Here is a 19,256-nt window from a genome sequence, read left to right as displayed (position 1 = left end):
TAAAGTCTCTTCTGGGTGGTCCAGGAAGCAAGACCAGAACACATACCGCTGCTGGCCCGAGGATGATGACATGTAACTATTAAATTTTCATGGGTTTGAGGTCAAGTATCTTGTCTATTATCTTTTCTTCCCATAAACAGTAGGTGCTCAATAAACAAGCATGACAGCAGGAGAGGAAATGAGGAAAAGGCAGGATAAATAAAATACCCCTGATGAGTTCCAGGCCTCTTAATCTTGGTTCTTTCTCAATCGGTAAATATCAAATAAGGGCTCAACCGTAGTCCTGCCAACACCTCCAAAGCATCTCCATAGTCCGGATGCTAAACCACCCAGTGTCCACCAGGGGTCCTGGGATGAAGGGAGACGTGTTTCTTTCACGGTCATCATGATCGATTACTTCTTCCCTTCAAGTCCAGAGTCGCAGGCAGTGGACATAAGGCCACCTCCAGCCCTCTGCTTCCAAGGCTGGGGAGAGGCAAGGTCTCCCTTCGCCGCCGTAACCAGCCCGGGAACAGGAAGGCTGGGGAAGGTGGGGGACTCCATCAGCAAGGAAACCCTGGGGCTTCACTCTCCTACAGGCGGTCCTGCGAGCGCGGCCAAAGAGAGGCAGGGCGCTAGGGAAGGCGCGGGGACCCGGCCTCGGTGGAAGGACTTGTCCCCGGCGCAGAGGACGGGCGGGCGGCCGGGCGTGGGCGAGCGCGTAGCCGGCGTGCTCCTCCGTGCGCCCGGGCGGCGCGGGCGCGGCCGGCGATCCTGCAGAGGGAGCTGTGCGCCGGCCTTAGCGCACGCTCGGTGCCGCCCGCTCCCTCTTGCCGCCGCCGCCGCCGCTGGGCCCGCCCGCCGGGGAGGGGCTCCCGGCCTCGCAGACAGCGGCTTCCTGCTTTCTGCACGTCCTCGCCGCCGCGCCGCCAGTCCGTTTGTGCTAGCTCTGGCCGTGAGCCGGCCGCCCGCTGCCGCCGGCCGCCCCGCAGCTGCCTGCGCCCCAGCCGCGCCTCGCGGCCAGCCCGGCTAGCTCAGGTCCGCTCCCGGAGCCCGCGCCCCTCCACGCTGCCCCCTGCCTGTCCCCGGCCATGCTGTCCCTTCAGTACCCCGACGTGTACCGCGACGAGACCGCCGTAAGTATCTCTGCCTCCGCCCAGAGGGCTCCCGGGCAAAGGTGCCCAGCCTGCCTGACCCGTGGCACCCGCAGCTCCTCTTCCTGTAGGCCTTCGACCCCCGCGTCCCTCCCCTCCCCCTCGGCCTTTGTTTGGGAGAATTGGGCCGGGGGCGCGGGGCTCCTCTGCAGCGCTGGGGTCCCGCGGGCGGTCACTCTGCTAGTGCTGGCGGCGGAGCCTGTGGGCAGCGCCGCCCGGCCGCTTCCTAGAATCAATGGGGTCAAGGGCAGACGCCCGGGTAGAATGGGTGTCTTCAGGGAGTGGGAAGACAGACGGTGTCACTGCTTTTTTGACTGGCGAAGCCTCTTGCTTAAATATGGTGGTAGGAGAAAGTGTCCGCTGGGGTGTGTGTGTGTGTTTGTGTGTGTGTGTGTGTGTGTGTGTGTGTGATGTCACATTTAAAAACGAAAACAAACTTTTAAAACTTACACTTTAAAGTCCTTAGAGTTGAAGCATATTCGTTCGATTTTAAAAGGTGTGTTGAGCGCCTACCCTGTCCCAGGTCGGATGAGGCGCACTGGGCCCTGGGGATGCCAGAGACCCGGACAGAAATGGGGAAGGCGGAGCAGTGACCCCATAGTGTGGCCGTGCTGATCCATGTTTTCTTAAACAAGAAAAGGAGTTGAGAGAGGGTGAGAGGAGGTCTTAGAAGGGAGAGGGGTTGACCTTTTTCAGAATGAGTAAGTTTTGTCTAGTGGCGGAGTTGACCACCATTTGCCTAAGCTGCAGATGAACTCAAGGTAACTGTTGAGATCCAGTAGGCGGAATTCTGGGCAGACACCTTTTTTGTGTAAACGTGAATTTGACGACTTAGGAACTGGATTGCATCCACATGTTGTGGCCGTGATTCTCTTACTAATAGCTACATTTCTCAGATTACTTAAAATATAATCAGAATAAGTATGTATTTGTGTGATACAGTTTTAATGTTTTTCTGTTTACTTTCCCAATTTATGCCAGAAAGTGTTTACTTTAAAGCACGTGCTACATTGGGGTAAAGGGTGCTGACGCTTCGGAGTAAAGGACATACTGTTTTAAATTAAGACTTCCAAGTGACACTGATGCATTCATTCATGGTTTCTTTGACCAGTGGCCATCTGGTAACCATGTTTTCTCAGTCTGCTCAGCTGCTTGCTTATTAAATTTACCCTAACAGCTCAAGAAGCTCTATTCCTGTGGTTTAAAGGTTGTTTCCTTTGAATATGGGAGTAAAGTGATCCTGCTGGAATGGAGAAAGAGGCTGGACTAAATGAAAAGACCAGAGCGCTAGTTCTGGTTCTGTCATTCACTAGTTAGGTGACTTTTAGCAGCTCTTTTACCTGTTATGGGCCTTTTTTCTCATATGAGAAATATTTGGACTGACCATAGGGCTTACTTGCTTCTGCAGTAGGAATGTTGTCATTCATTCATTCATTCATGTGACAGTCTAGCTCTGCAGTGTTCCAGACTAGTAATGGGAAGCCAGGTGACTCTCTTGGTTCTGGTTCTTGAGGATCAGAATATAAAGAATTACCCATTCTGTGGTTTGATAAGTGCAGTTTTAAGTTTGTTTTTAGAGTTACTTGTTAGTTTTTCACCACTGTGGGTGCCTAAATCCTACAGTTTGTTTATTTATGTTTGATATTTCATGAAAGGTTTAAGTGAGGATTTTATGAAGACGTCTAAAAGATTATAAACAACTCGGAAGGGTATACTGTGGATTTTAATACACTCCAGTTCCTTCTCATTAAGCAACTCATGCTAACTCTAAGCCTCGTGGCCAAGGGAATGTAGCTCTGGCCCAGTCTGGATCTTGTTGTGTGGCTCCTTGATAGCTTACGGTGGAGTATCTTTTTTTTTGCATTAAGGTTTTGGTTACTAAGCCCTAGGCTTGACTTAGGTATTTGCTTAAATGGTAGCCTTTGATTTCTAGGATGGGTTTGTTTCTCCCCAGCATCAGCTGGGCATTGCGGTAGCTCTCTGTCTCTTTCACTTGAGCACCTTCAGCCATATGCTCAGTACTCTCCTGCTGAAAGCTTTGGAGCGTTGAGACCATTTTGGTGGAGTTCTGCCTTTTTGGGCAGAAATTTGGAAGCCATGACACTTCTTGTGCAATACCATCGACCATTGCTTAAGAGAGTTGCTATCAGGAAATTCAGGCCTGTCACAGGGGACTCACACTCTGATAGAAGAGGATTTAGGGTGAGAGGAGAACACAGAAGAGGATGGGACTAATTTCCATCAGGAGGGGGAGGCATTATGTGAATTGAGTCTGGAAGTTGACCAGTTGGGTAAGGGACAAAGGACATTCCTGATCCTGTGACTAAAGTAAAGCCATAGCTATGCAGGCCTGGATTGTTGTGGAATTGCATTTGTTTGTAGGGTGGCAAGAAGGCGATTCTGACCAGACCATCAACAGATGGATAAATTTGCATGGGGCTGGAAAGATGAGCAGGGCAGGTTTGATGGGTCCTGCCTGCTGTGTGTACGAGTCTGCACTTTATCCTGAAGGCAGTGGGTGAGTTGTTGAACAGTACAAGTAAAATATCGAACAGGATTAAGTAGTACAGTACCTTATCAGGGCTCTATTTTTAAAGCTTCTTGAGGAGATCAAGAATGATTAGCAAACTTAAATCAGGTGGAAGAATTTGATTCAAGGGAAGTGGCTATAAGACACATCCACCTCATTTGTAGGGTATGGTCTTAGAAAAAATTGGAGGTGGAAAGTTGTGGCTCCTGGGATTAACTCTGGAATTGTCCTGGAGAGAATGTTTCTTGTCCTAGTTAAAAATATCTGATCAATAACTTCCATCTGCTGTAGATGATGGTGCCCGGTCTGGGCAGATAGGGCTGCTTGGTGTAAAATTCTAGATATGCCTGAATTTAGTAACATAATCCAGGAACATTTTTTAAGTGTCTATTCTGGCCCCTCTGATGAGTGTTTGGGGAAAAGGGTGGGCTGACTGCTTTAGTCCCAGGTCTGGTTCTGAACTTGATATGGTTCTGGGCATGTTACCCAGCCTTATCCCTGCTGTTGCTCCTAGAAGTGCATGATTGAAAGATGCTTTACAATTCAAAATTTTCTGATTTCTTAATGCTAGGAAAAGCAGATTGTTATTTTAAGCCTATTTTATAACCACTTCAAGGTGTGTAAAACGTAAAAGACTTGCAGATGAGAAGAAAAGATGAAAAGCTGTTGTTCGGTGGTGACAATCTGCTAAAATTTAGAGAGGTCAGAATTGAAAATTGGTAACTTTATGAAGACCCATCTGGAGAGGCTTTAGTCGGGTTTTATGTTCCTTGCTCTTGTTTTTACGTCCCTTGCTCAGTCAGTTGTTTAATGAAAATATATACAGAGTGTTCTGGCTTACCTGCCCATTTATCCAGTTGTGCATTTCCCCAGGAGTTCTTTGACCTGGCATCAGACAAGGACAGATGTGGAAAGCCCGGTGTTGTAAGGGCCAAGGAGATTGTTCTCACCCAGCCAGAGCCACACTGGAACTAGAGCAGCACTAGGTTTTCTTTAGGAAATAGCCCTTACCTTCTGGCATTGTAGAACAAAGCAAGGAGACAGATTAAAAAATTCATCTGAGATAGAGGTAGTCTTCCCAACAGCTTTATACAAGAAGCCTTAACTAGAATGTTGGAGTGGTTCAGAGACTTGATTGGCAAGACATTGTCAGTGTGGTTTCATTAATGGGGTTAATCTTTTTTTTTTTCTGAGATGAAGTCTTGCTCTGTTGCCCGGGCTGGAGTGCAATAGGCGTTGTCTCAGCTCACTGCAACCTCTGCCTCCTGGGTTCAGGAGACTCCCCTGCCTTAGCCTCCCGAGTAGCTGGGATTACAGCACCTGCCACCATGCCCGGCTAATTTTTAAATTTTGAGTAGAGACAGGATTTCAGCATGTTGGCCAGGCTGGTCTTGAACTCCTGACCTCAAGTGATCCGCCTGCCTCAGTCTCCCAAAGTGCTGGGATTATGGCTGTGAGCCACTGCACTCTGTCCTAATGGGGTTAATCTTGATGGTATCAGGTGGAGAGATTTTGTAATGATTTTTACTGCTGGATAATTTCTTTTGGCATAATCACTTGAGGAGTGGTGAAAACTGTTTCTACTTGCTCCTTCAAACGCCTTCAAGTGGCTTCTAAGGCCAGGCCTTAGAAGCTCCAGAAAGCTTCCTTCAGCCAGGTTCTACTTACACTAAGCAGTTTTATTTCTTCCAATATCATGGTAACCTGAATGGGTGATGCTTTTGCACCTTCTTTTTGTAAACAGTGGAAAAAAGCATTTCATAACAGTAAATAAAAAGGAAGAAAGGCATTAGTTTTAAAATGTTTTGCCATTGCATTTAAGTCAGCTTTTTGAACTTATGTCAATTAGAATCATTATACTACATATTAGTAACTTGCTTTTTGGCAGTTTAGACATAAAAGCAAACCTGGGCTATATTGCAGGGAGATTTTCTAATCATTGGGAAGCTCAGCGGAACAGGAGAATGAGCACGTGTGTGTTAGCCCCCTCCCTGACGTGCCCTTCTTGTGTGCCCACTGTATTGTCCACTGTATTGTGTCATTCTGTGCTTGGCTGCTGACAGCACGTTTTCAAGTTTCTTTAGCACAGTGGCAGGTCTTTGTTTTGTGTTGTAGGGACAGAGCGGTTTCCTGTTCTGACCTTTCATCTTTCTTTCCTCTCTAGCTGAAACATTCTTTTCATGAAGGGTGGCTTGACACCTTTGAGAACCTGCCAACTTTGGTTCATGTGGTAATTTGGGCAGACACGTTGCCAGTGAGCCAATTAGCATTTTTGTCCATCCCTTTCCTATTTCTCCATTACATTAAAAAAATACCAGTTTTAATTGGGGTTAGAGAGTAATTATCTAATACCTCATTTTGTTTTTTACAGGTACAGGATTATCATGGTCATAAAATTTGTGACCCTTACGCCTGGCTTGAAGACCCCGACAGTGAACAGACTAAGGTAATTTGGTTTCTAATTAAAGATAAGGCAGCCTTAGTAGCTAGCACCAAACTCTAAATGTCAGTAACTATAGCTTTTCCTTTCTGGTGTTCTCCTGTGTTTTCTGCCATGGGATGGTGAGTATACCTGTTGTTACCACTACTTTTTGTCAAATAATTTATGGGAAAAAGACAAAAGCATGGCTTAGTCCCAGAGAAGATCACCTAAGTGTTTCAGATAATGTTTATGGTTCATAGTGACACTGATGAGCTATTTTAAATGAAAATATCAGAAAGAAAACTGATTTTTGCCAAAAGAAAAAATGAAAACCTAGATAGAAATGATGTTAAAGGAAAAAATTGCCTAAATATTTTTTTCCAAAGAAAAGGAAATCTTGTATATGAAATGAATATTAGGTCATGAAAACTGAACACTGTCCTTAAATTGCTTATTGATGTCAACACAACAACAGTGAAACAAAAGCTAAGTAGTGAAGGGGCAGGGGGGAGCATTTTCTGCCCTAAAAACATAAAGCTTTCATATTCTTTTGGAGAAACAGTATTTCAAGGATCCTGCTGAAGTCCATTCAGTAATGAAGGTGGCCCTAAGTCCTATGTCCCACAGACATTTTTCCCTTTTTGGAGTGCCTAGGACTTGTCACTTATGTATACTTTTTTTTTTTTTTTTTGTAGACAGAGTCTTACTCTGTCACCCAGGCTGTAGGGCACTGGTGCGATCTTGGCTCACTGCAACCTCCGCCTCCTGGGTTCAAGCAATTCTTGTACCTCAGCCTCCCGAGTAGCTGGGATTACAGGCATGTGCCACCACACCCGGCTAGTTTTTGTATTTTTAGTAGAGACGGGGGTTTCACCATGTTGGCCAGGCTGGTCTCGAACTCCTGGCCTCAAGTGATCCTCCCGCCTCGGCCTCCCAAAGTGTTGGGATTACAAGTGTGCACCATCGCGCCCAGCCCATTTATGTGTACTTTATGTAGTTAATTAAGTTTGCTTGGTTGGGGGAATAGTGTTTCTCAAGTTCATCTTAAGTTCTTGGATTCTTCTATTTATAACCATAGTACATAATACTTAGTACATATTTGCAGTTTCTGATATGTTCAGCATCCCAAAATTTATTCGAGCTTCTTTAGAGTTGCAGGGTACGTTTCCCATTTAAAAAAAAAAAAGGTTAAATGGCACTCTAGGTAGTTTTTCAGGCCAGTCTTCAAACGCCTGTGTCTTAACTCCGCCTGTTTCTTGCAGTCCCTTTCCACCGTATATACCAGTGTTCTCTGGAGACCTGAATTCAGATTTGCCAGGAAAGCATCCCTTCCTGATGTAGAATTGCCCATCTCCCCACTGGGACAAGGAAAGGGATGGAGTGAAGAGCTTAGCCAGAGCATGATGGTATATGGAGAAAAGAGAGAAAGTAGAGGCAGGGGAGTAAACCACATGATCATCTCTTTCTTCTTCCTTTAGTCTCAAGCACTGGCTCACCTGCTTTCTGCTATCCTCACCTGTTCTTTGTGAGTAGTGTCTCTCCTTTGCCCACTGCAAAGCTCTTACAACTTCTTTTTATCCTTTGTCCCTAAAGTAAGCACACTGCTATTTTGAGATTTCCTAATGGTTTTTACTTTTATCTGCAATCCTACATTCTTTCTCTAACTCCCTTCAAGAAAGACAAAGATCTCATGGATGAGAATGGTTGATATTTGGGGTTTAATTTTTCTTTCCAGAAGCACTGGGTTATAGTAGTGGATGGGCAGAAATTCCAAAGTGAGAAACACCTGAGTATCTTTAGGAATGGTGAAGGCTGTAGCTCTGCAGGTAAGTCTGAGGGGACAGAGAACAGGTGTGGGGTTACCTCCCCACTTCATCCCTGCCATAGATTACCTTGATTGTTCAACACTGGGCTGACTGAGACAGAGGGATTGGGTCTGGGAGTGGAGAGTCACATGCACCTGCATAACCTGTACTGGCTAGAAAGCACCAGGGAAAGGATGAAGTTCCTGTGCATCTCTTGGAAAACTGTCTCTAAGGACCTGATGATTTCTTCACCTGAAGTATCGGCTATAACCTGGATTTCTACAGCCTTTGATGGTGATTGAGTGATTTAGCACTGTCAAAATGACCCAGGTTTTATCTGTTAGTGAATGTATACTTTGCTGTTCCTTAGTTGATAATGACAGGTTCGTGGATGACAAGCCACTTATTAGTGGATATCAGGCTTCCAATTAGTGGATGAAACTGCTAATTAATGATCTTATAGTCAGCACTTGATAGAAACTAAGACATTGGAGTATACACTATTTTTGTGGTATACATTTCTTGGATGGTTACCATGTGCCAGGCACTTTACCGGGAGTTCTGCATTCCCTGTTTCATTTAATTCTCAAATTCTGAAATATATCTTTTTATTTCCCCCATTTTACAGATGAAGAAATTGAGGTGCTGAGTGATTAAATATGTTGTCCATGGCTACTCAGCTAGTAAGTGTGTAGTCAAGGGTAACCCAGGTAGACGAGGTGGTTATCAATTACACATTAAAAAATAAGTAAAAGTAAAAAGACTGGGTGTAATACTTTGCAGATGCGAGCTAAAGGAATGTATTCATGTCTGTGCTTGCCATGTGCCTTTGTAGGCCCTCAGGTGTGAACCCTGGGCCAGCCCCCACTCCCATGCTGACCTGTTCTTTTTTAAAATATATATATTTTTTAAATTGTAATAATTCAGAGTACTGTGATCTTACATCCTTCTCTGACTTCATATTCTACCATGGCAATTTTTCATGTTAGAAAGCAATCTTTGCAGCCCAGAATTTTAATAGTGATACTATTTCATCAGGCAGATGCACTATATTATGCCTAATGACTTCTGTTGGAAATGATTGTTTTCAACTTTTCACTATTACAAATAATGTCCCAAATGTCCCAAACAAGCACTTTTCTAGATCTCCACATTTCTGACAATGACATGATTACTTGTTGCAGTAGCCTTGAAATCTCTTCTCCATTCTCAGGTATTTGCTTTTTGTCGTTGCTATCAAATGGGTTCCTTTTTCATTATTGATGGCATATACAAGTGTTACTGACTCTTTTGTTAGAGACAGGGTCTTGCTGTTGCCCAGGCTGGAGTACAGCCATCTTCTGGGCTCCAGCCATCTTCCTGCCTTAGCCTCCCAAGTAGCTGGGACTACAGGCGCACACCACCATGCCTGGCTAAACTAGCTACTGCTACCGATTTTATATTTATTTTGTACCTAGTTCCCTTACTGAACTCACCAAATTTTCAGTTATTTCCCTTAGATTTTTAGATACATAATCATATAACATATAATCAAATTTAGTGATAATTCTATTTTCTCTTCTATCAAACTTTGGTTATTTTATATATTTTGTACCTAGTAATTTTTTTGAACTCACAGATTTGAATAAGTTTTCAGCTATTTCCCTTAGGTTTTCTAGATACATAATCATATCATCTACAATCAATTATTATTTTCTCCTCTACCAAATTTCGGTTCAGGTCTTATTGAATTGGTCAAAGCTCTGCAAAACATGTAAGAATAGTAGTGAGAAAGAACTTTCTAGCCTAGTGTTTAAATTGTTATTTTGAATGATATTTGTCATCTTGTTTAAGCATTGTTATTCCTACTTTTAGTTTTGGATTTTGATTTCTTTTTAATACCAATCAGGGTAATTATATAGCTTCACTAATATATTAATATTAAAATGTCCTTGAATTCCTGTGATAAAATTCCATTTTTAATCTGTTTTTATGTTCCTTACAACTATATTTACAAGAAAAGTTGGTCAATATCTTGTTATCCAATATAATAACCACTAGCCACTTGTAGCTCCTGAGGACCTGAAATGTGGCTAGTCTGAATTGATTACATGTTGTAAGCATAAAATACATGCTGGATTTCAAACACTTAGTTTGAAAAAAAAAAAAGTAAAATACCTTAATATTTTATATGGATTACATAAAACCAGTCAGGACATTAGAAACATCTGTAGCTCTCTTATAAGATCTGAAATAGAGTTTCGATTTAATCTAGTATTTAATACAGGTTGGCCAATCCTGCCACTGCCTAGCATTTAAGGCTATATCCTTTATAAAACAAAATCAGAGAAGACTTGTAATGGAAAATTCTCAAAAACAGAGTTGAAATGATTTGTGTGTAGTGGATTAAATAAAATATATTATTGAAATTAATTTTTTTTTCCTTAATGTGGCTACTAGAAATTTTTAAATTGTATATGTAGCTTGCATAATGTATCTACTGGACAGCGCTGCTCCTCTGTTTCTTTACAAAATATCTCTGTTAACATATTTCATATCAGCGTTAGATTTGCTTCAGAGAATCAACTGAATTGTGTGTTGCCTTGTACAGTCTGAAGCATTTGCTATAAAATAGCAATATGGGCCTTGACAGCTAGAAAAGATTCATCCAGATTCAACTCTCCCTCTACCCCCTGCCCCGCCCCTGTTTTTGAGAATTTTCTGTTACAAGTCTGCTCTGGTTTTGTTTTATAAAGGATATAGCCTTAAACGCCAGGCACTGTCAGAATTAGCCAACCTAAATTAAATACTAGATTAAATCCAAGACCTACTGGTAGCATTTCAGATCTTATAAAAGAGCTACAGATGTTTCTCACTTCTTGAATGGTTTTTATTGGAAATGTAATAAGCAGCTTTTTGTTTTAGAAGCTCTGTAAAGATTCTCCTCTTTACAGCAAGGTATGGCTAATACACCTTTGTGTATATGCTAATAATGTGAATAGAAAATGTTCATGCTGCTTTTCTGCTCTTGTGAAAAACCCACCATACCTTTTCAGTCTGGGACCAAAATTTAACTCATCAGATCCAAGATGATAGACTCACTGGCATCATTAACTGCTTAGAGACGCATGAGAGGTATGCATGGAAGATGCACAGGAAAGGCCTACGTTGCCCCCTCTGACACCTGAAGTATGCTGTCTGAACAGGTCAGCATGGGGCCGGCTGCGGTGGTTCACACCTGTAATCCTAGCACTTTGGGAGGCCGAGGAGGGTGGATCACCTGAGGTCAGGAGTTCGAGGCCAGCCTAGCCAACATGACAAAACCCCATCTCTACTAAAAATACAAAAATTAGCCGTGCATGGCGGCACATGCCTGTAATTCCAGCTACTTGGGTGGCTGAGGCAGGAGAATCGCTTGAACCCAGGAGGCAGAGGTTGCAGTGAGCCAAGATCATGTCACTGTACTCCAGCCTAGGTGACAGAACGAGACTCTGTCTCAAAAAAACAAACAAAAACTACATTTGTAAAAACTGGTCTGGGAGACCTATATGGAAATACAAACTAAACGCCAAAAGTAAGGTAAAGGAAAAGCTTTGAGTTAGAAATCCTTCAGATTCCTACTAAGTATAATATGCTGTTTAAGTGCACTTACCACAGTGTAATTTCACTGGTATAAATGGGATATCAGAGTAACCATGGTAGCGTTAGCATGAAGGGCCAGAGAAGGAGGTTTGCAGTCCCTAAAAATGATTTGAGACCAGGCGTGGGGGCTCACGCCTGTAATCCCAGCACTTTGGGAGGCCAAGGTGGGCGGATCACGAGGTCAGGAGATCGAGACCATCCTGGCTAATACAGTGAAACCCCATCTGTACTAAAAATACATAAAATTAGCCCAGCATGGTGGCGGGCACCTGTGGTCCCAGGGAAGGCTGAGGCAGGAGAATGGCGTGAACCCAGGAGGCAGAGCTTGCAGTGAGCCAAGATGGTGCCACTGCACTCCAGCCTGGGTGACAGAGCCAGACTCCGTCTCAAAAAAAAAAAAAAAAAAAGATTTGAAGACTAGATAAGTAGGTCCCAATAATCAGCCCATGTTTCCCATTCCGCACACATTTCCAGCTTGTCCTTTGTAACTTGGAGAAGGAAGTTTGGTGCAGTCTTGCCGTACCCTGTTGTTTGGTAACTTGAGCCTCCAGTCTGTAAATAACATGTGGTTGACTTCCTAAACTTTACCTTTCTAAATTTCCCTCTGGTATGTGTACTTGTTTCCCCTGGCAAACAAACAAGCAAACCCCAAACCCCACACTTTGCCTTAGCTCTTCTGAACCACCTTCTTCCTCTCAGTCGGTCTCCCGGTCCCTTAGGGCGTGTGCCCTGTTCAGATCTTACTTTATCATGGGCTCTCTCCCTCTCTTTCCCTGCCTATCCACAAGCCACTTTCTGCATGCCTGTTGATATAGTTGAAACTACCCTTTTCTTTGTACTACTCCCAGTAACATCTCCCATTAGCATAAACTATTTTCTTCAAGATCAGTGGTGGCCCAGTGGCCAAATCCAGAGACTTCCAGAAATCAGGCTAGGCACAGTGGCTCACACATATAATCTCAGCACTTTGGGAGGCCAAGATGGGAGGATTACTTGAGCCCTGGAGTTTGAGACCAGCTGAGATGACATAATGAAACCCCGTCTCTTTATTTTATTTATTTGTTTATTTTTGAGACAGTCTCATTCCATCACCTAGGCTGGATTGCAGTGGCACGATCTCAGCTCACTGCAACCACTGCTTCCTGGGTTCAAGCGATTCTCGTGCCTCAGCCTCCTGAGTAGCTGGAATTACAGGCGCCCACCACGATGCCCAGCTAATTTTTTGTATTTTTAGTAGAGACGGGGTTTTGCCATATTTGTCAGGCTGGTCTTGAACTCCTGACCTCAAGTGATCCACTTGAGGCCTCAGCCCTCAGCCTCCCAAAGTTCTGAGATTACAGGTGTGAGCCACCGCACCCGGCCTTTGTCTCTTAATTAAAAAAAAAAAAAAGTGTGTGTGTGTGTGTGTGTGTGTGTATAAAACCAGAGACTTAGATAAATCAGCATATATTCCTCACTAGGGAGATGGGCCTCATGTCCAGGGAGAATTGTATAGTTGGGATATGCAGGCAAGGAGAATGCTCTTCCTTCAGCCCTGCTTTTTTACACTGCTTTCATCATGGAGGCAGCATCTCTCCGATCGCTGGGGGAATGCTAAATTAGCATTTATTCTTCCTGGCCTCTTTACCCATGTGGTACCAGGTAGTCTATATTGCATAATTTGCTCCCCTTCCTGATAGTGATACTTTCTTCTCTTTACTTTTCTGGCTTGGTTTTGCAACCCAGGGGTCCAAGTAGAAGTAATATTCTTGTAATCTCAGTCTCCCCATCTTACTCCATCTTATTGTGTCTTCACCCTTTTAGCTGAATGTTCTAGAAGTTGTTACTGAGTTGCTGAAGAAGAAATACACAAAAGAAAAATTTACACCTTTCAAGGGGTAGCTGCCTTAACTGTAACTGATTGTCAGGTCTGGCTTTCACAGAACTGTCCTGGAGCTTGGGCACATGAGTTAGCTAAATGTAGAATATCAGTGGCATTTATCTAATAACTTCTTATTCTCCCTGAGTGCCGCCCTGGGCAAAATGAGAGTAACAACAACTCCATTTCCTTCACAGACCTTGAGAAGAGAACTCTAACAGGATTGGAAAAAAGTATTTTTATTTATATTCGTTCCTTCTGAAAAATAAGATAAAATAACAATTTGTTTCAGAGAGGATGAAAGGAATATAAATGTAGATTTCTTTTCTGGGACATGTGAGTTCCCACTTTCCATTCTCTCACTGACTAGCTGGAAGTGACCCCGTTACACCTGCTGATTAAGAGGCTATGGCAATTAGAACAGAAATCCTTCAGGATTGCAGGATAAGAATCCTGGAAATGTCACCACCTTCTCCGCCTGTCTCAGTACTGTTTCTTTCCTTGGCAGGAAAGATTTAAACCTTAAAGGACTTCTGATCATCTCTAGGATATTTAAATCCTAGGATTTCTATGTAGGTATTTTAGTGTCACAGAGATCAGCGGAGAACAAAGTTTGTGTAGGAAAACGTCTGCTTTCCCAGGTGCCCTTCATTGTCTGTCCTGAAGTCTTTTTGTTTGTTTGTTTCTTTGCTTGCTTGCTTTTGTTTTTGGTCTCTGGGGTTAACCTTAAAAGTGTGTAGCATGAGGAGTTTCTGTTCTTTCTGGTGTCAATTTCGGTGTCGGTCTAGCCTAGGACTGCCTGGATCATGTGCTTTCCCTAGCCCGGATCCAGAGGCAGCCTCTGGAAGAACTGGTGCTGAGCTAGGCAAGCAGGGACTGATCTGTCTGATTGCCTTTCCCCATCTGGCCACTACGTTTTCAGAGCCATTGGGGTGGAAGCTTGCTCCCAGGAAATTGCAGTACGTGAGGGGTTAGTTAAATGTCTCTAAGCCAAAAGCCAGCAGTTAAAGCTTACTGATGGAGCTGTTGATCCCCAGAAATTACAGGTATAAAAGGCTGGTTTTGGTGTACAGTGTTCTTTGAAAACTTTATAACAAACTGGGGATATCTGTGTGGATAATTCCTTCATTCTGTGAGTTGGCAGGCATTTCCGATGTTGCTTCTGTTGCAAGGCAGTGTGGAGGAATGAAGTATTTGCTGGATGGTACCAGAAGTCAGAAGATACAAATTGCAGTCTTTGGTCTTCTGTTTTCTTGTTCTATGACCGTAGCAAGCTACCTGATCTAGTATTCATTTTCTTCATCTATAAAGAGTTAAAGTAATATTCATTAATTTAGCTCCCAGTTATAACAACACCCAAGTGAGAAAATGTATGTAAAAATCCATATACAGCAAAGCTCCAGTCAAACGAAGATGGTGCTGCTTGGGCATTGCACCTTCCATGTATCAGGGTACATACTTTCTGACTCTAGTCTCCTAATTGCTTAGTCAGAATGTTTGACTTTAAAGACTCTTATCTGTTTTTATTTTTATCCACAAAACTAAGTCGATTTTCCTTTTGAATTCTAGATTTTTCATGAAAAGATACATTCTGAACATTGTTTTTTCATTGGAACTGTGACTTGTAAGTGTGGTTTTATTGTTCCCAAGTGTAGTGATGAAACTAGGCCAAAGATTACTTAAAGGCAGTAGCCTTAAAGTAGCGTCTTTTTAAATTGATACCTTGTGAACCCCACTGGCAGAGCTGGCCTGTGAGACACCTTCTACCCATTCATTCATGTCCCATATATGGGCCTGGATTGAGAATTACTGGTGTATGTATCCCTGCTGTAGTAGACGTGGGAAATGTGTTTAGTAACTATTTTACCACATATTATCTCAGTCTCTAAGACTTCTAAGGTCTTAAACGTGTTACTACCTTCTGTGGGAATGTTTAGCTTTATTACAGTTTGTAAACATACTTCTCAGAAATTCACAAGTGAAATATGTATTTAGGGAACACCTTCCTTCTGATCTCCGGATGGGATAATTGTCAAAAGTATGAGGAAGTTGCTGGTACTGGGCTACTCCTAATCACTACGTTCCCTTTTCTCCCCACCCCCACCCCCCAATCTCCTTTCTCTTGCTTTCTGTAATACGGTTTTTGATGCAAGCGGCAAAAACTGATTCTGGGCAAGTTAGGCAAATGGGGCATTTATGGCAAGGATATGAAGGCAGCTTGGAATGGACCAAGGGCCAGGCTCTGAGCAGGCAGGAATGTCACTTTTCACCCAGCATTGCTATGGCTTCACTGATCTCCAGTCATTCAGCCTGCCGTCTCTTTTTCAAGTGATGGTATCCCAACAGAAGGAGTCTTGATTGGCCAAGCTGTGGGTGTGTGCTCGCCCCTTGGCTGTATTGCAGCAGTTAAGAGAAGAGATTTGGTAGAAGCCCCAGGGACCCTCTTTGGCTTCTGTAGTGGCAGCACAGCTACCTGCTCCACTTAGAAGGGAGGGCGCTACGGAGGGAGCATGGATGCTGGCTACCCCAATGCCACATGCCTGCAGGTTTCATTCTCTCTCTTTTCTCCATATGTGCTTCATTTCCTCCTACTTCTTCACCTTTCCTCCTCTCTCCTTAGTTTATCTAGGTGCCCACTGTGCTGAGTATTGGGTTAAATAAGGGGGATGCGGTGTCATAAGTAAGACAGATGCCTATACCAGCATGGAATTTGCCTTGTAGCTTGGGAGGACCAGAGATTGAAGATGGGCATGCCACTTGATCTCTGAGCTGCTAGAGATTGGAGCAGAAAGGAGGCCAAGCCACATCTTGTAGCACAAGCTTGTCTAGCCTGCGGCCCACCGGCCACATGTGGCCCAGGATGGCTTTGAATGTGGCCCAACACAAATTCATAGACTCTGAAAACATTATGAGATTTTTTTTTGCGACTTTTTCTTTTTCTTTCTTTTTCTTTTTCTTTTTTTCTTTTTTTCTTTTTTTTTTTTTAGCTCATCAGCTATCATTAGTATTAGTGTATTTTATGTGTGGCCTGTGACAATTCTTCTTCCAGTGTGGCCCAGGGAAGCCAAAAGACTGGACACTGCTGTTGTAGAGGCGAAGACTCCAGCCCCATTGGTTCACTATCAGGGAAAGCTCCATTTTAGAAAAGCACACTGTAAATCATTGATGAATTGTTTCAAGTACTTGTATACATTTAATGTTACTGTTTTCTCTGTAAGCAGTTACTCAGCTTTGGTTTCAGTCATCTGCAGTTTTTCAGTGAAAAATGCTGGCATCAGATACGGTATTTTTGGGAAAACAGCAGTTAAAAAGTGAACATCTAAAGAACTGCGATAACTGATTTCTCTCAACTTCTTTTTTATTTTGTTTTTTTTTTGAGATGGAGGCTTGCTCTGTCACCCAGGCCGCAGTGCAGTGGCAGATCTCCACTGCAACCTCCACCCGGCAAGTTCAAGCAATTCTCATGTCTCAGCCTCCTGAGTAGCATGAGTAGGTGGGACTACAGGCATCCGCCTCCACACCTGGCTAATTTTTGTATTTTTAGTAGAGACGGGGTTTCACCATGTTGGCCAAGCTGGTCTTAAACTCTTGACCTCAAGTGATCCGCCCACCTTGGCCTCCCAAAGTGTTGGGATTACAGGCATGAAACACCGCACCCGGCCTTAGCTTCTTTTTTTCCCCCACCATGTTTAGGTGCCTAATTCACCATCCCATTCTGCCATGTTCAGGGGAGAAAGTGCTTAGCCATAAAAATCACTGGGGCACTTGTTAAAAATACAAATGCTGAAGCTTCAGTCTGGAGCATTGGATTTCAGTATAAATCTGTTTTCCAAGACCCCTATTCCTCACCCTCAGGTAATTCTTCAGACCCAGAAAGTTTGGGAAAACTGCCCTAGGGAATACTTAGATTACTTGATTAAAGAACAATTATAATACCTTTCATTTTTTTTAGGGCCTATTCATAAGCAGCTAAGTTCTAATAGATGCCTCACTGTTGTTTATAGCATCTTTGTAAATTAGTGTTAATGGTTCCAATTTTTTTCATTGGGGGAAATCAAGGCATGTGACAAAATTTCTGGGACTCTTCCAGATCCTCTGACCATTTGAATCAGCTCTTCATTTAATCATATACATGACTCTCTGGAGCTCCAGTTGTACCTCCATAAAATCTCATGACTTTCTACTTGCGCTCTTGTCTGTGCCAACACCTCCCTGGGTCTCTCATACATTGCCACTGAGCTAGATGTTCAGTAACTTCCTAACTTGTCTCTTTTCTTCCAGACTTTTCTTTTTACTCTGCTCCCTCTAGCAACTAATGAGAACCCTTAGCAATGTTGGAACCTCTGCCTGTTCATAGGAAGGCAGTGCGTATAGTTGTTAAATGAGCAACTTTAGAGGTAGAAAGGCAGGATTGAATCTTAGCTCCACAATTTTATTAGACATTGGTCATGTTGGTTTTTTTCTTTCTTTCTTTGAGATGGAGTCTTGCTCTGTCACCAGGCTGGAGTGCAATGGTGCTATCTCGGCTCACTGCAATCTCTGACTCCCTGGTTCAGGCAATTCTCCTGCCTCAGCCTCCCGAGTAGCTGGGATTACAGGCATGCGCCACCACGCCCAGCTAATCTTTGTATTTTTAGTAGAGGTGGGGTTTCACCATGTTGGCCAGGCTGGTCTCGATCTCCTGACCTCGTGATCTGCCTGCCTTGGCCTCCTAAAGTGCTGGGATTACAGATGTGAGCCACCACACCCAGTCTGACAATTGGTCGTGTTTTTTAGCCTCATTTTTCTGACTTGTAATTTGGAGAAAACCACCTCATATAATTGTTAACATTAAATGATAGTGTTTTTGAGCCATTTAGCAAAGTAGCAGGCACATAGTAAGTGCTTAATAAATGCTCACCATTGCACTCATTATTGAGCCATTTAAATAATATGGAAATTATGGTTTTTGATAATTTGAAAAACTTCATCCTTAGAGTTATCTGGGACAAGTTCTTTTATTGCAATTAATTCTTGGGTTTTTTCCCCCCATTTTGTTTCACAGTCATTGCTCTGTTCAGTTCTGCTTTCTTTTTGGATCAATTTTAGTCCTTTGTATTTCTTAGTAAATTATTCATTTCATTGAGATTTAAAAATTACTAGCATGAAGTTATGTGTAATATGCTTTTTAAATGACTTTATTCTCCCAATCCGTGGTTATATTTGTTTATAATTTCTAAATTTGAGTATCTGTAGCATCATCTTTGCTTGATTAGTTTAGCCAGAGCTTTGGCTAAATGTGCTTTTTTTCTTTTTTTTTTTTTTTTTTTAAAGCAGATCTAGGAAGTCTAAGTTTCATGCTTAAAAGCTTCTAGTTCATTGATTTCTTATTTTCTCTTGTTATTTTAAAATTTTTTATTTTAATGCTTAAAGTTTATTCTTTCTCATAAAACACCTTTATTGTAGAGAACTTGCTCAGTCATCCCCAGCCAGCCCTGGAGCAAGCTTCTGGTCAGCTCTCCTCTTTCCAGCCTGCTCATGGTCATCCAGTCTCATCTCGTTCAGAAAACCAGAGGCTTCCAAGGAAAGCTGTGTTAGGACACTTTATTACTGGTACCTGAATCCCAACTCAGACCAGCTCACATAAAAAGAGGAGCTGAGTGGCTCACGTTATTGGGGTTCAGGGTATAAGTGCCTTTAGGCACAGTCTGATCCAGGAGTGCATGTGGTATTTTTGGGAACCTGTCTTTTTCTCTTAGGTCATCTGCTTTTCTCTGATAATTTTATTTTTCCAGCAGCCACTCCTGTGTGGCAGAGAAAGATGGGTCTTGTCTCTTTGGGTTTCTCACAGTCCTTGTAGCCCCAAGTGTCTTAAGTTGAGATAACTTCTCCCTTCAAATACTCATCT

At 43.1% G+C, this 19,256-nt stretch overlaps 1 protein-coding gene across 3 annotated transcripts in view, besides 2 other annotated features; it reads left to right on the top strand.

Moving 5' to 3' along the window:
- Window positions 603-1,172: a silencer, noted in NCBI's record as "silent region_17428". NCBI's record gives its function as "represses an Ori minimal core promoter by ATAC-STARR-seq in GM12878 lymphoblastoid cells {active_cell/tissue: GM12878}" and the evidence as "EXISTENCE:reporter gene assay evidence [ECO:0000049][PMID:35858748]".
- The window catches only part of PREP (prolyl endopeptidase), a 129,865-nt gene continuing 111,488 nt past the window's right edge, over window positions 880-19,256 (top strand). For all 3 annotated transcript variants that reach the window (NM_002726.5, XM_011535925.4, XM_005267044.4), the window contains exons 1-2: window positions 880-1,115; window positions 6,035-6,109. In NM_002726.5, coding sequence (NP_002717.3) covers window positions 1,071-1,115; window positions 6,035-6,109 — 120 coding nt within the window. In that variant the 5' untranslated portion in view covers window positions 880-1,070. The remainder of the gene's footprint in view (window positions 1,116-6,034; window positions 6,110-19,256) is intronic.
- Window positions 5,300-6,062: an enhancer, noted in NCBI's record as "OCT4-NANOG-H3K27ac hESC enhancer chr6:105845775-105846537 (GRCh37/hg19 assembly coordinates)". NCBI's record gives its function as "activates a minimal SCP1, AML or CMV promoter by ChIP-STARR-seq in naive H9 embryonic stem cells {active_cell/tissue: H9 hESC(naive)}" and the evidence as "EXISTENCE:reporter gene assay evidence [ECO:0000049][PMID:30033119]".

Source organism: Homo sapiens, chromosome 6 (genome assembly GCF_000001405.40).
Source record: "Homo sapiens chromosome 6, GRCh38.p14 Primary Assembly".
NCBI lineage: Eukaryota > Metazoa > Chordata > Mammalia > Primates > Hominidae > Homo > Homo sapiens.
Note: the sequence above shows the minus strand (reverse complement) of the source record. Positions and strands in the feature narration are given on the sequence as shown.